Source organism: Homo sapiens, chromosome 2 (assembly GCF_000001405.40).
Source record: "Homo sapiens chromosome 2, GRCh38.p14 Primary Assembly".
Taxonomy (NCBI): domain Eukaryota; kingdom Metazoa; phylum Chordata; class Mammalia; order Primates; family Hominidae; genus Homo; species Homo sapiens.
The window spans coordinates 119,728,937-119,743,314 of record NC_000002.12 but is presented as its reverse complement, the minus strand read 5'-3'; the positions used below and the strand labels follow the sequence as shown (position 1 = coordinate 119,743,314).

Genomic DNA, 14,378 nt, shown 5'->3' with positions numbered 1-14,378 from the left:
AATTTAGAGGTTTCAACAATTCAAATCAGACACACAGTGTTTCAGACTGAAGCTTAGTCACATCATTACATAATGGTCTCCCAAAATGGAGCTGGACAAATCAAAGAGAGTTATAAAAATGCAAGCAACCCAAGTTATTAAAGGTAAAACATTTTACCTATTAAAATGCAATGTAATGTCTTTCTGTCTCCAGCTAGAGTGGAGAGAGCCTAAGCCAATATGGCTGAAAAGACGGGCTGCCTTTGCATTTCTATGTCATGAATTATGTGTTGGCATCAGAGAAGAGCCATAGAAGGCTTCTAAAGAGTGGAGAAATGATCATCTCCATATTTTATAAAGACCACCATCATGATGGTGACACATAGGCTGGGGGCTAGGGTGAACATAAAGGTGGAGGATCAGTTTCAGACCCTTGTAATGACCCAGAGAGTTATGATATATGTTTGAGTCTGGGTGGAAGTTGTGGATATACAAGAGAACAGAGATACCTGAGACACCAGGTAAATAGAAACAATATGACTTGATCTATCTATTGCATGGCGGAACCCAGGTTTCTGGCTTGGCCAAGTGGCTGGTTAGCTGGTAGTGCCAGTCACCAAGATGAGGAGGCACAAGAGAAAAGGCAAGTAAGAGAGTATGATTAGTCCATTTAGCAGAAGTTGAGCCGGGCGTAGTGACTAACACCAGCAATCCCAGCATTTTGGGAGTCCGAGACAGGAGGATCAGGAATATGAAACCAGTCTGGGAAACATATAAAAACCATCTCTACAAAAAAAAAAAAAAATAACCAGGCATGGTAGTATGTGCTTCCAGTCCTAGCTACTTGGGAGGCAGAAGTTAGAGGACTGCCTGAGGATTTGAGGCTGCAGTGGGCTATGATGGTGCCACTACACTCCAGCCTGGCAACAGAGCAAGACCCTGTTTCTAAATAAATAAATACAAGTAATTGAACTTGAGAAGCCTGTGAAATTCTATCCAAAAGTCAATTAAACATACAGATCTGCAGCTCAGGTCTCCAGCCTGCACTGGAATTAGAGATCTGAGATGGTAGTGCATGTCGTAAGGATAGTGTCTGGAGAGAGAAGAAAGGAAGTAAAGGGAAGAACCCTGGGAATAAGCCCCAACATTTGGGAATAGGCCCCTGTGGTAAACCAGCCTGGAGACTGAGCAGCCAGAGAGCTCAGAAGAAGGTGAGGAGAGAGTAGGGCCCCAGGCACCAAGGGGGAGAGTCTTGGAAGACTGTGAAGGGGTTGACAGTGCCATGTGTCACAAAGCTGAGTAAGCGGTGAGTGTAAAAGTGTGCAAGGGAGTGGGGAACTTAATATTCATTCATGACCTTTGCCAGACAGTTTCAAGGGAGAAACTGAGGTGGAAGCCAGATGTCAGGGAGTCGAGGAGGGAGTGGGAAGTGGGGACTTTAAATGAAGACAGGTGACAAGGCACTTAGCTGATTAAAGAAGGTGAGAGAAATAGAAAGAGGGGACAGAATTGGGGGGAAGCTTTGGTTAGAACATACATAGTTCTAATAATACTGTGTCTGGCCAGGTGCAGTGGCTCATGCCTGTAATCCCAGCACTTTGGGAGGCTGAGGCGGGCAGACTGCTTGAGCTGAGGAGTTCGAGACCAGCCTGGGCAACATGGCAAAACCAATGTATTTTCGTTAAAAATACAAAAAATTATCCAAGCATAGTGGCACATGCCTGTAGTCCCAGCTACTTAAGAAGCTGATCACCTGAGGTGATCACCTGAGCCTGGGGGGTTGAGGCTGCAGTGAGCCATGATCACACCACTGCACTCCAGCCTGGGTGACAGGAGTGAGACCCTACCTCAAAACAATAATAATAATAATAATACTGTGTCATGGGATTCAAGTCTCCATAAGGGTCAATTGATATTCTCTTCTTGAAAACCTGTAGTAAATAAATCCCAAACCCAAGGTAACCATTTGGTAAATGAAACGTCTGTGCTTTCCTAGCTTCTCTGGGATTTGGGAGCACCTGAAGGGTTGCGATAGCTCCATCCATAGCCTACTCAACCACCATTATGTTGGCCCTTTCTTCTTGCTAACAGAACCCAGTGTTGTTGATGTGGCCATTTGCCCAGCACCACAGTACACACTGTGCTTGTTGTAAGACAATCAACACAATGTGGTTTCTCTTTGCCAGTGACTGGTCTAGGGGTGTGTGCGACCCAGTCCTAGCCAATGGGATGTTGGAGGACATTTTCTGAGGACTTCTTGAAAAGAATCCTCCCTCTTCCTCCCAATCACCTCATTCCCTCACTATAAAAAGAGAGAAAAGTGAGGAGAAAGCTTTTTTCCACCTATCCCTTTCCATTCTGTTTAGGGCATAAAAATAATTGTAAGGAAATTCAACAAAGTTCTTTTTCCAGCAATGATTCCCTTGATGCAGTCTTAGAAAAATCAATTTTAAAATTATTTCAGAAGCAAATTTTTAGGTGCTCTTGCTTTGCAGGTATCCTAAGCAGACATTTATTTAGCTTATTAGACACTCTAACGCTGACCTTGAGCAAATTTCTTAACTTGTATGAGCCTCAGTTTCCTCCTTGATAACCTGGGGAATGAGAATAGCTACCACATGGGCCTGTTGTGGGAACTGAGATGGGACGTGCAAAGTGCCTAGCATAGCAATGATAGTGCTTGACTCCTATTTTCCTGTGAGTTCTTTTTTTTCCTTTGAGATGGAGTCTCACTCTGTTGCCAGGCTAGAGTGCAGTGGCGCAATCTCAGCTCACTGCAACCTCCACCTCCTGGGTTCAAGTAATTCTCCTGCCTCAGCCTCCCAAGTAGCTGGGATTACAGGCATGCACCACCATGCCTGGCTAATTTTTTTGTATTTTTAGTAGAGACAGGGTTTCACCATATTGGCCAGGCTAGTCTTGAACTCCTGACCTCAGGTGATCCACCCACATCGGCCTCCCAAAGTGCTGGGATTATAGGCATGAGCCACCGCGCCCGGCCTTCCTGTGGGTTCTTTACACACACCCTCACTAGGAAAGACTAGGAATGGCCAGGGCTACCAGTAAATTACTGATAGCCAGTGACCTCCCCAAGGGACCCTAGAACCCAGGATCCCACTTTCCACACCTGCAGGTCACCCGTTGGCTGCCAGATCCATGTCAGGTTCCTTTGAGTTCAGCTGCAGCCTGCTGACTTGGGCACTTCCCCCAACAGCCTGCTTGGCTGACCACATCCCCCAGATGGTTCCAAACTGTCAGCCTTTTGAGCCCACAGACACGGTGCCCAGACCTTGTGTCCCCTCCCTGCACCAGTGCCTGTGGTGCCCAGTTTCTCCAGCCCTTGCCAGCCTGTTCCCAGCTTCTGGCCCTGCCTGCTGCATGGTCAGCAGAATTCTCCTGGGCCTCATCCTAGACCTGTGTTACAGCAGGTGACAGACAGTCAGTCCCACTCTCTAATAAGCCACAAAATAAACCTTGTGTCCAGAAGGCAACATCTACCTAATCTATACCCTTAGCTACTTTGCTGTCCCTTGAGGGAAGAGGACAGGTGCCTCTGTCTGACGTCTGTGTCTCTGTCTTTCATCCTCAGCTTAGAGACACAGTGCTGAGTAATGAGAGTTTGTGCTGGGGCTAAGACAACAACAAAAATCCCAGCTTCAGCACTTTATTACAGTGCTGAATTACTTAATTCAAGTGAGCTATTTAACCCTTTAAATCATTACAACATCAATAACAATAGCACCTAATATTTATTGGTTGCATATTTGTCTGCTAAATGCTTTGAGAGGCATTCTCTCAATCTTCTCTGTTACTATGAGAGAGGTTTCATTGTTCTCTCCACTTTAAAGAGGAGGGACCCGAGACACAGAGAGTTAAGTAACTTGCCTGAAGTCACTACTGCTGAGTAGAGGAGCTAGATTTGCCTGATTCTGGAGCCCAGACTCCCTGGGACTCAACTTCCTCATCTGTGAAATGTGGACATTAAAAATGACTTCACAGGACTGAGCAAGAATAAGAGACATCACTTCTACAGGGTCCCTACTAGATGCTCAGCAATGCTAGGGGAGCAATGCCCGGCTCCCCTAGCTATCATAGAGGACTCAACTTCCTCATCTGTGAAATGTGGACAGTAAAAATGACTTCACAGGACTGAGCAAGAATAAGAGACATCACTTCTACAGGGTCCCTACTAGATGCTTAGCAATGCTAGGGGAGCAATGCTCGGCTCCCCTAGCTATCCTAAAGGAGTCAACATGAGCCATTGAGATGTTGGCTCTCAGTAAAGATTTGTCCCCACGGCAGACATTTCCTAAGATGAACTGATTTGCAATGGGAATTGCAGCTGATGATCTGGAAGGCCTTCATCAGCCCTTCTGAAAGAGATCTTGCGGATGCCAGCTCCTTTTCAACTCAGTACATGGAACATGCAGACACCAGCCCTGCTGCTGAGAACAATGTCTGTCAGAAACATGCTTTCCCTGAGAGGACAACCATTATTAGTGGGGTAGGACACAGACTCTTTTTTGAGACAGAGTCTTGCTCTGTTGCCCAGGCTGGAGTGCAGTGGCGCCATCTCAGCTCACTGCAAGCTCCGCCTCCCGGGTTCACACCATTCTGCTGCCTTAGCCTCCCGAGTAGCTGGGACTACAGGCGCCCACCACCATGCCCGGCTAATTTTTTGTATTTCTTAATAGAGACGGGGTTTCACAGTGTTAGCCAGGATGGTCTCGATCTCCTGACCTCGTGATCCGCCCGCCTGGGCCTCCCAAAGTGCTGGGATTACAGGTGTGAGCCACCGTGCCCTGCCAGGACACTGACTCTTTAGCCAGGTCTATGGGGATGAGGGGAATGTAGATACCAGTTGTGTGTGAAGCTCCTCAGAATTGACTCAAGTGTATCATTTAGAACTGTACAGAAAAATTACTTTTTTGAGAAAGACTCAAAATTACTAAAATGGAACTTCTTTCTTTCCAAAATGTGAGAGCAAAGTACTGTCAGACCGACCTCCACCCTGGTTTTCCCCACCCTCTCTTAACATCATTTAGAGGTTTGTTTTTTACTCTTCCTTCCCCCATTCATGTCTTTCCTGGCTCTTTTGGGAATAACGTAATTTGGAGTGGGATGTTTTTTCTTTCCCTTTTGGTCTGTGCAAGTGGTCTGCGGGTTTATTTTATTCCAGATGTTTCTCCCCAACCTGCCTTTTGAAAGAAACCCAGAATTATTTTTAAACAGAATTTGGAGGCTTCCAAATACAACAAATATTCAAACTGCCTGTGGGTTCCTACATTACAAGTCCTTGCTTTGTGGTGGGGAGAACAGAGGCTATGGAGCCAATGGTTCTGGGGACATAGGGGGCCTCGGAGGCCTGCTCCGTGGGCCTGAACTGCCTTCTCTTGCTTTCTCTTCTCCGCTTCCTGGGCATCAACCCAAGTGCCCTCTGGCTGCCCCCTGAGATGCCTACCTGAGGAACCCACTTCTATCCCAGGAAACACACTGCTTAGCTCTTCTGCTGAATTTTGCCAGCACCTCTTTCTCCCCAGAAGCTAACCTGACAGAGAGATTCATATTAAGATAACACCATAACACTTCATACATTACCTCCTTTCCCACTTCCTACATTACCAGGGACCCTCAATGCCTTGACCCGGTGGTTTTCAACTCTGGCCGCACACTAGAATCATCAGAAGAACTTACTGAGATATGGATGTTTGAGCCCCACCCACCCAGGTCTGAGGGCTAATGCTCTGGAAACTGGAAACCGGATTAAAAAAAATAGTTTCTACTTTTAATTATAAAGGTAACCTGTATTCATCGTTCTTGTTATTGCCATTAAGGTAAACATTACAGAAATGTTTTAAGCAAAAAGCAAAAATATCCCCTCCCTCCTTGATATTCCAGTCCTGCTCTTCAGGAGCAAACACTGTTAATGGTTTCATGTGTCTCCTTTTGGAAGTTGTCTATGTATTTTGCTAAATCATATATGTTTATTTTTTACACCTATGTGATCAAATTATCACACTTTTGCATCCCCAATGAACCTTGGAGAACTTTCCACATCACTACAAACTGAGCGATCTCATTCTCCCTGAGGCTTACATCACTTTGCTGCTGTGGGGGGCCACAGCTCTCTGATTGACTAGGAAGCTCAGGCTGCTGGGGAGGATCGGCTGGAGAGGAGGCCCCTTCACAGGGGAAGGTGGTCAGCTGTCTCTAACATCTCCCCTAACTTCCAGAGCCTCTTAAGAAAATGCATTTTGGAGAAGGAAAGCTTTTCCCTAAATTGTACTCAGAGTGTAGGCTGATTGTGTGAAAATGCCTCGATAGAAACTTTAGGTCTTCTGTTGAATTTCTTCAGCATCCCTTTTCCCTAGGGGCTAATGGGAATGACTGTCTATAAGCTAAAACCATAGCACTGAGATAACGCCACAGCCTATCACTCCTCCCAGGTGATACATGTACGACAGCCTGTGTAAACTGCAGAAAAACACATACTTTGAAGAAGAACTTCAAGTACATCCTGGCCCTCAAATGCTTTATTTAAGTATGGGCCTCAGGAACACTCTAGAGGACCTTGGGAGGAGAGGTTTACCTGGATAGTTCCCCAGTAGAAACACAGGAAAGAGTGGGTATATCTCAGGGTGATGGTTTTGAGAATGAATCAGTGACTTCACAGAGATGACAAGACTGGCATAACATGCAATTTGATTTCTTACTTAAACTAATGTCTAGTTTCCCACTGTGTAAGAGCGGTTCCCCTCTGACTTTTTGGACTGTGTTCACCACCCTTTTCCGAAGGGTGAAGGTAAAGAGAAAGCCTCCCTGTAGTCTGGCTCTGTCACTGCCTTGCATGTGATGTTTCCTAAGTCTTGCAACCTAACTGGGAACCAGTCTCCTTATCTAGGAAATGAGGCCAGTACAATAGATGATTTTCTTTTATAAAACCCAGGCGGGTCTGAAGGTCAGATGATTTTTAAGGTCCTTCCTGGCTTTAAAATTCTAGGTTTCATGACTATGACCACCCACAAACCATACAGGAATTTTTTTTTTAAGCCACAGCTGAATTTAGTTCTTTGGAAAAGAGGCGGTGGAATCGCATTACCCAGCTGGGTGCTTCCTATTTAATCTGCTGTTTTCCTGACTCGTGTAGCTCTTTTCCTCCCAAAGCTTTCTGTGAGCCTGTAGCTTGACAGCATCTAGCCTTGATGGTTTGAGCTTTCTTTTTTCCGTGATTACCACCACCCTGCCACCTATCTCACTAGGATATCATCCAATTTAATGCATTGTAATAATAATTATGTCTTATATGTACATAAGCTTTAACAGTGCACCAAGAACGGTATTTTAGAAAGCACATGGGTTTTTTAGCAAGACATTGTCAGAGTTTGAATTCTGCCTTGTAGCAGCTGCAAATTTGGTTGCAAACACAAACTGTTTCTGGTTAACTTTAGCAGAGAAGGAATTTACGTGAGGAGCAGTGGGAAGCGCATGGCATCATGGGGCCGCTGGGAGGCCTTGGCGGGGGCAAGACGTAGAGGAGGACAGGCACAGTCCAGAGGCCACCTTGAGAGCCACCGACTTGGGAGGGGCACTTGTCACTGCTGTTCACAGCCACCTCATCTAATCCCTAAATGACCATGTGCTTTGGCTTGTCTGCCTAAAGGGTGAAACCTTTAAGCAACTAGAGAGCGGAAAGCTTCCCCTTCAGCTTGGTTTCTGTACTGGGCAATGGAATCTTCTGTAGCGGGCAAATGGAACACTTACCCTGATGTTCCTCCCAAATAAGAAGTACTGTATATCCACAAGTGGACATCCAATACAAAGAAAAAGAACCTTGATGCTAACCTGACATCATATACAAAGATTAACTCAGGTTGGACCATAGACCTAAATATAAGATTGAAAACTGCACAACTTCTGCAAGAAAGCATAGAATAAGTATACCTAGATGCTAAGCAGCCAGAATGACCAATGTCCACCACAGGGTTCCACCACCTACTACTACTAGCTGTGTGACTTGGTCAAATGAGGACAATCCCTGTCTCCAGGCAGCTGGGTGGATCCAGTGGCAACCTGAATAAACCCCTCAGCCTGGGCCCTGCCCTCTGCGTAGGGATGTTCTCCTGAACTAACCTGCAGCGTGGACATTCCCGAGCATGACCCAGCCTCCAGGTGTCCCTCTGTCAGGAGGTGGGGGTGCATTCCGAGAGGGGACAGACCATTTTGACACCTCTTGTCTTTTGCAGCTTTGAGAGCCCTGAGATTCAGCCCCTGCTTGGGACATAGTGGCTATAGGGAGAGTCTTCTCAGGCAGTGAACCGAGAAAGAAGGTTGCATGGGGTCCTCCTGAGACACACCTAGGCACTCTGAAAAATATTTCAGTGAAACTTCTATGGGGAAGTGCTGGAGGCCTGTGTCAGCAGGTGGGAGGCCCCAGTGACATCTGTTAATGTGGATTCATTTGTCCCTCTGGTGCTGGGCCTGAGCAAATTTGGGATGCACATACATCCTTTCATTGGATTCTTGTTATATCCCTTTGAGGTCAGCATAGCAAGTACTGTAGACTCATTTTTTTTTTTTTCTGCAGAGGAAGAAACTGAGGCTAAAGAACAAAAACTTGCTGAAGGTCACTCAGCTTGGGCTGTGGGACTTGTTTTCCTGCCCCGAGCCCAGCGTCCTTCCCACCATCCAACACTGTTTCCTTTCTTGGTACCTCCATTATTAGAACACCTGGATATTCTTAGCTAACAATGGATGACATAAATAAACACACGGTCATTTCCCCACATTTCCGCACAGGTCCTCTGCAGATGGCAGAGCCCTTTCTCTAAATGCATGGCATGAAAAGGCATTTCAAAGGTTGGAAAGAGAGCTTCAGCATTAATCATGATGGGATAGCGGAAACTGGCTTTGCAAGGGATGGACTGGACTTCAGGGAAGATGGACAGCCTGAGCTCACTTTCAGGAGAGCTCACTTTCAGGAGATCAGTCAGGGCTGTCATTCCAGGGCCTGGGTGGAGGGCTTCTGCTGTGCCAGGGAACAGGTGTCTGGACTCGGTCTCCCAGGGTGAGCGCCGTCTGCTGCCAGTCCTTGCAGAGACTGGACTGTAGCTCTGAGTGCATGATTTGTAGGCCAGGATCCTCCCCTGCCCCTGAGGCTGAGGCCAACATGGGGGGTGGCTGCCTTTAAGGCTGGTCTGGGATTGTCCATGTACTTACTGAGCCAAGGAGGAAGAACCAAAATAGATGCTGGGAGAAAGCAGAGGTCAGAGGCTCAGAGAGGCAAGTCCTGTGTCGGGCTGGAAGGGGATAGTAGAATTGGGGGTGTAGCGGGGGATGGTGTCAATAGCCAGTGGGAATGAGGACTAAGGGAAGAGCCCATCTCACAGGACTCCTGGGCCTAGCAAAGGGTAGGTGATCAATGACTATTTAAGTAATTAATAGTTCAGCAACAAAGGACAGTCTTGTGGGGGTAGGGGCAGCTCCTAAAAAGGGCTGTGGTAGGAAGGGTGGGGCAGGAAGGTCTATGTGGCTGAGCCCCTCTGGGACCCTCAAACTCCAGTGTCAAGTCTTCTGTCCTTTTGAGCCCAAGTGACACCACTGATTTTTTTTTTACTCTATCTTGAGGGAGAAGCAGGCCCCCCACAAAGGACATAAATCTCTACAGATGAGGATACCTCACTGGGCTTTTGTTTGTCAGCCAAAAAGGGAAAAGTAAGCATTTGTCTAATTTTCTCAAATTTTAACCAGCCAACAGGTTAGAGATCTTTTTTTTTCTTTTTGGCTTTTAAAATAACCTTTATTTTTTAAAAGTTAAGATGTGCATTATAGGAAACTGAAAAACGCAAGAAGCAAAGAACAAAGTCATTCACAATCACAGGCAGTTTATAGTTTGACATGCTCTTCTAGGTCCTGTGCGTGTGTAGGCACAACATCCAATTTTATGGCACTGAGATTGTACAGTATGTATCATGATTTTTCACACATCATGAATATTTACCAATTCAAAATCCTAAAGCTATATGAGTATTCTGATAACCAAGAATACACTACACCAACTCAAACTGTTAAAAGAAAATGTAATCCTGCCTTTCTTGGGACAAAAATTTCATGAGATCATGTTTTAAATGGAGAAAGAAAAAGGAGAAAGCCAGAAACTTGAATTCGCTCAATTACTCAGGAAACTTTAACCAAAAAGCTCAGACAAATTAAGGCTGACCTTAATTGATCTGTTTAGATGTTAACCTTTAGAAAAAATCTGTATACATACAAAGAGTATATACATTTGTGGCTTTGAACAAACATTTATGATTCACGGAAGGTGATGACTGCTTTGGCAAAATGGCATGGTTCAGTTTGAAGTCCAGCAGCTCTATTCATCCGTTGTGTGACCTTGGCACTTGGTCCCAGGGTCCCTTCCACCCTTTCTGGGTGAGTGCACAGAGGCGGACCAAAGTGCCAGTTCCAGACCCCATTTCTTGGCTGCTTGGCTCTTGAGGCACCCGACTTTCTGACTTGTCGGGGGCATCCAGGTTTGACGGCTTGGTTGGCCCTCAAGGATGCCTCTTGGCTGACTGGGTTCTGTTTTCTTTAGTTCTCAACTTTCCTTGGTTTCTTAATTTCAATGTTATGTCATCCCTTGGGATCCTGTTGGCCAGGCCCATCCCTGTAGGAGGGTTGACCTCAGCTTTCTTATTTTTCTCCCTTTCTTCCTTTCCTCCTTCACATGTAAGATGAGATGGTTGGACTGGACCAACTCTAGAATCCCTTCCCGCTCTGACTGCTCCATGGTCTGATGAAGGTGGCCACTGAGACATTTGGGCAGGGGCCCCTCTCGAAAACCATGGAGGTAGGCATGTGGTAACTCCCCCTGCTACGTCCATACAGCTATTCTCCTGTGAGAAGAGTTGAGATGGCTTTCTGCACAAAGTGAGAAAGCAAAAGAGCCAGACAGGACCCATGGGGGGAAAAAGGCAGGACAGAAAGCAGATAGCAAAACCAACCTGCCCTCCGAGGGCATGCCCGTCACACGCAGGGCTGCTTGCAAAGTGGGTTTTCGTCCTGTTCTCAGGCTTACAAGCAACTCATTGTCCTCAGAAAATAGCAGCTGCTTCTGGGGAGTATTCGGCATTGGGTGTGACTACTTAGGGGAGCGAGCTTTCAGCAGAAGGCCTGAGCCTTCGTCCGACAGGAAAGGAGGAAGTCATTCTGGGCAGGGGATTCGTTTTCTATTGCTGCTGTAACAAATTACCGCAAATGTAGCGGTTTCAAACAACATAATTTATCATTATACAGTTCTGCAGGTCAGACATGAGCCTCACTTGGACACAAGAATGCATTCTTTTCTGGAGATTCTAGGGGAGAATGCATTTTCTTGTCAGTTGGCAGAATTCAGTTCGACAAGGTTGTGGGACTGAAGTCCCCATTTCCTTGTTGGCTGTCACTGGGGGGGATCCCTTAGCTCCCCCCTGGAGGCCTCTCTCTTATCCTTGTCTATGAACCCTGATATCCCAGAACCAGCAGCAGGGCTCCTCCTCATGCTGCCACCTCTCTACCTTTCCTCAGTTTTCACCTCTCTCTCTCTCTCAGACCATGAGTGGGGAAGGTTCTCTACTTTTTTTTGTTTGTTTTGGAACGGAGTCTTGCTCTGTCGCCCAGGCTGGAGTGCAGTCACGTCATCTGGGCTCACTGCAACCTCCGCCTCCTGGGTTCAAGCAGTTCTCCTGCCTCAGCCTCCCTAGTAGCTGGGACTACAGGCACCCGCCACCACGCCCAGCTAATTTGTGTATTTTAGTAGAGATGGGGTTTCACCATGTTGGCCAGGCTGGTCTACATGACCAGCAAGCAAGCCACCCGCCTTGGCCTCCCAAAGTGCTGGGATTACAGGCATGAGCCACGCGCCTGGCTGGTTCTCTACTTTTAAGGACTCGTGTGATTAGATTGGACCCACCTGAACAACCCCGAGTAGTCCCCCCATCTCAAAGTCTTTAACTGAGTCACATCTGGAAAGGCCCTTTTGTTTGCCATGTAAGGTCACCTATTCACTAGTTCTGGGCATTAGAAAGTGGACATCTTTAGGAGGCCGCTAGCTTGCCACCCACAGGCAGATTAGGCCATGTGATTTGCTGACCCTCTGCAGATGTTACACTGAGGCAGTAAACCTTTTCCAGGTGACTCATACCACCTGTGCACATCAGGAGACAGTCATGTGAACTACAGCTGTTGCCAGTGCCAGCTGGGCATTGTGCAAAGCAGGACTTGAATGTGTCCATCACATGCACTCTGTGGTCGAGCCATCAGATGCCCTGAGTAATTAATGTTCACATGGCTTTGTGAAATACAACTATGTAGGCTAGCTCGTCAAGTGTTTTTACAAGAGCTGACGCCAGTGGAACCCACTCAGCTTGCTTTTCCTGTTCCAGCTTTTTCACGCACAGTCAGGACCCCCCTGGAACTTCATCTACTGCCAGCTCCCCCATTCCCCTCCCACGAGTGTGGGTGGCCCTCTTAGCCTCTGACCGCATACTGGAACCTGCGGAGGCAGTGTTACCAGACCTGAGGTCTTCCTCTGCATTTCATTTGCTGTTCCCTGGCCTGCAATGCCCCTTCCTTCCCACCTCCCCCGAGGGCCTAGCAGCCCCTCCTACACAGCCCTCTAGCCCCTCTGTGCTCAAAGTGCATCTGAGGACATCACCTGAGAGCTGTAGGAGATGCAGGATCTCAGGCCCCACCCCAAACCTACTGAAGCCAAATCTGCTGTTTAACGTGATCCCTGGAGATTCATAAGCATGTTGTCTGTGCAGCACGGAGTGAGGGGCGGCTCCTCTTCGCTGCACCCCTTCCTGATTACCCCTAGGCCCAGCCAAATAAACTCTTCTTCCTGCTCCCTTGTGCCCCATTTGGACTTCACTCGTAACAAGGGAGTATAACTGGATGGTAAAAGGGACTTTTCCTGTTATCTAGACATTTCAGCAGAGGCCTCAAAGGCAGAACAAAATAGTGCAAGGAGCCGCACATCCGCACAGTGCTGAGACCCTGCCCAGGACAAGCTTGGTGAGTGGAAAACTTCCTTTGTCAGCCCTTCGCGCACTTCCAGCCTCAGATCGAGGCATCAGGGAGGGTTTCCTTGAAGAGGGTGGGCTGAGGGCTGTGTGTTCCCACCACCCCTGTTGCCCTTCCATGGGGTGGGGCAGCAAGTGCTTCCCCTCACCTCAAGGAAGTGACAAGGGTTGCACGGAGAGCTCTCCCCACACCTTTCAGTGTTTGGGGAAACGTGAGGACTGGTCTGAGAAGTCAGGGCTGCCGTGGCCAGTGGTGCCCTGCCCCAGAGGGCAGTGGGGTGAAGGTGTGTGGCTCCCAGGGACCAGATGGGGGCCCTTTTGAATAGGACTCCACCCAAGTGGGCTGCCTGGAAGGGCAAAGGGACCCAACAGAGATGTGGGCCACTGGAAAACCAGAGACCCAAGGGCTGCTGAGACCCTGCCCCACAACTACACACATCCCAACCTCATAATGAAAAGTGTAGTTGAGATAGGGTTGCCAGATTTTACAAATAAATATACAAGATACTCGTTTAAATTTGAATGTCAGGTAAACAACATGTATGTTTTTAGTATATGTTAAATGAAATATTTGGGACATACACTAGATCTTTTTTTATTTTTATCTATCTAAACTTCAAATTTAATTGGACATTCTGTATTTTTATCTGGCAACCCTAAGTTGGGAGCTTTATAGCAGAAATTCAAGTGGCTTCTCCAAGAAACCCACAAAAGCACCCCAAAGAAAAGTCAGCCCTAGAAACCCCAATGGCAGCTCACAACTGAAGCAGTCAAGTAAGATCATTTCTGCTCTGTCATCCTGGTCCCCCACCTCAATGCCTCATCAGGATAGGGAGTGGGAGGTGGAAGAAGGGAGGGGACAGGAGGAGGAGATGACCATCTCCATCACTTCAGGCTTCCGAGCCAGAGACGAGACGCTTTAACTTTAAATGAAATTGAACATTTTGATTATTACTTGGATCAGACACAGACATACAACTACTCTTCTTGTGACTTAAAGAGACCTATGATGTCTGCCTAAGACGGCATGTCTTAGATGGGGAAGGAAGCAGGTCCTGGAGCTAGGTGGAAAAGACAGTGGGTGAAAGGAGAGTTGCTTCAAGAGTGTGCTCAGCTGAGTAGCAGTGGTTCCCAAACTGATGGCTTCTTTGCAGAGCTGTCTTTCTCACTAGCATCTTAGCATTTGTTTGTGTCCCCAGTTCATGGCATATATAGTAGATGCTCAGTAAATATCTGACTGTGTTGTTTTTTTGAGACAGGGTCTCAGGTGCCCAGGCTGGAGTGCAGTGGTGTGATCATAGCCCACTGCAGCCTCAAACTCTTGAGGTCATGTGATCCCTC

General features: G+C 47.2%; 1 long non-coding RNA gene across 7 annotated transcripts in view; it reads left to right on the top strand.

The window, feature by feature from the left end:
* LOC101927764 (uncharacterized) overlaps window positions 1–14,378 on the top strand; it is a 41,770-nt gene that overhangs the window by 16,400 nt on the left and 10,992 nt on the right. For 3 of the 7 annotated variants that reach the window (XR_007087215.1, XR_007087214.1, XR_001739677.3), the window contains exon 2: window positions 12,940–13,029. This is a non-coding gene — a long non-coding RNA (uncharacterized LOC101927764). Of the gene's footprint in view, window positions 1–8,328; window positions 9,044–9,603; window positions 9,691–12,751; window positions 13,030–14,378 lie in introns of those variants that run through there. The other 4 variants (XR_001739676.2, XR_001739669.2, XR_001739668.2 and 1 more) reach the window with 3 other exon arrangements.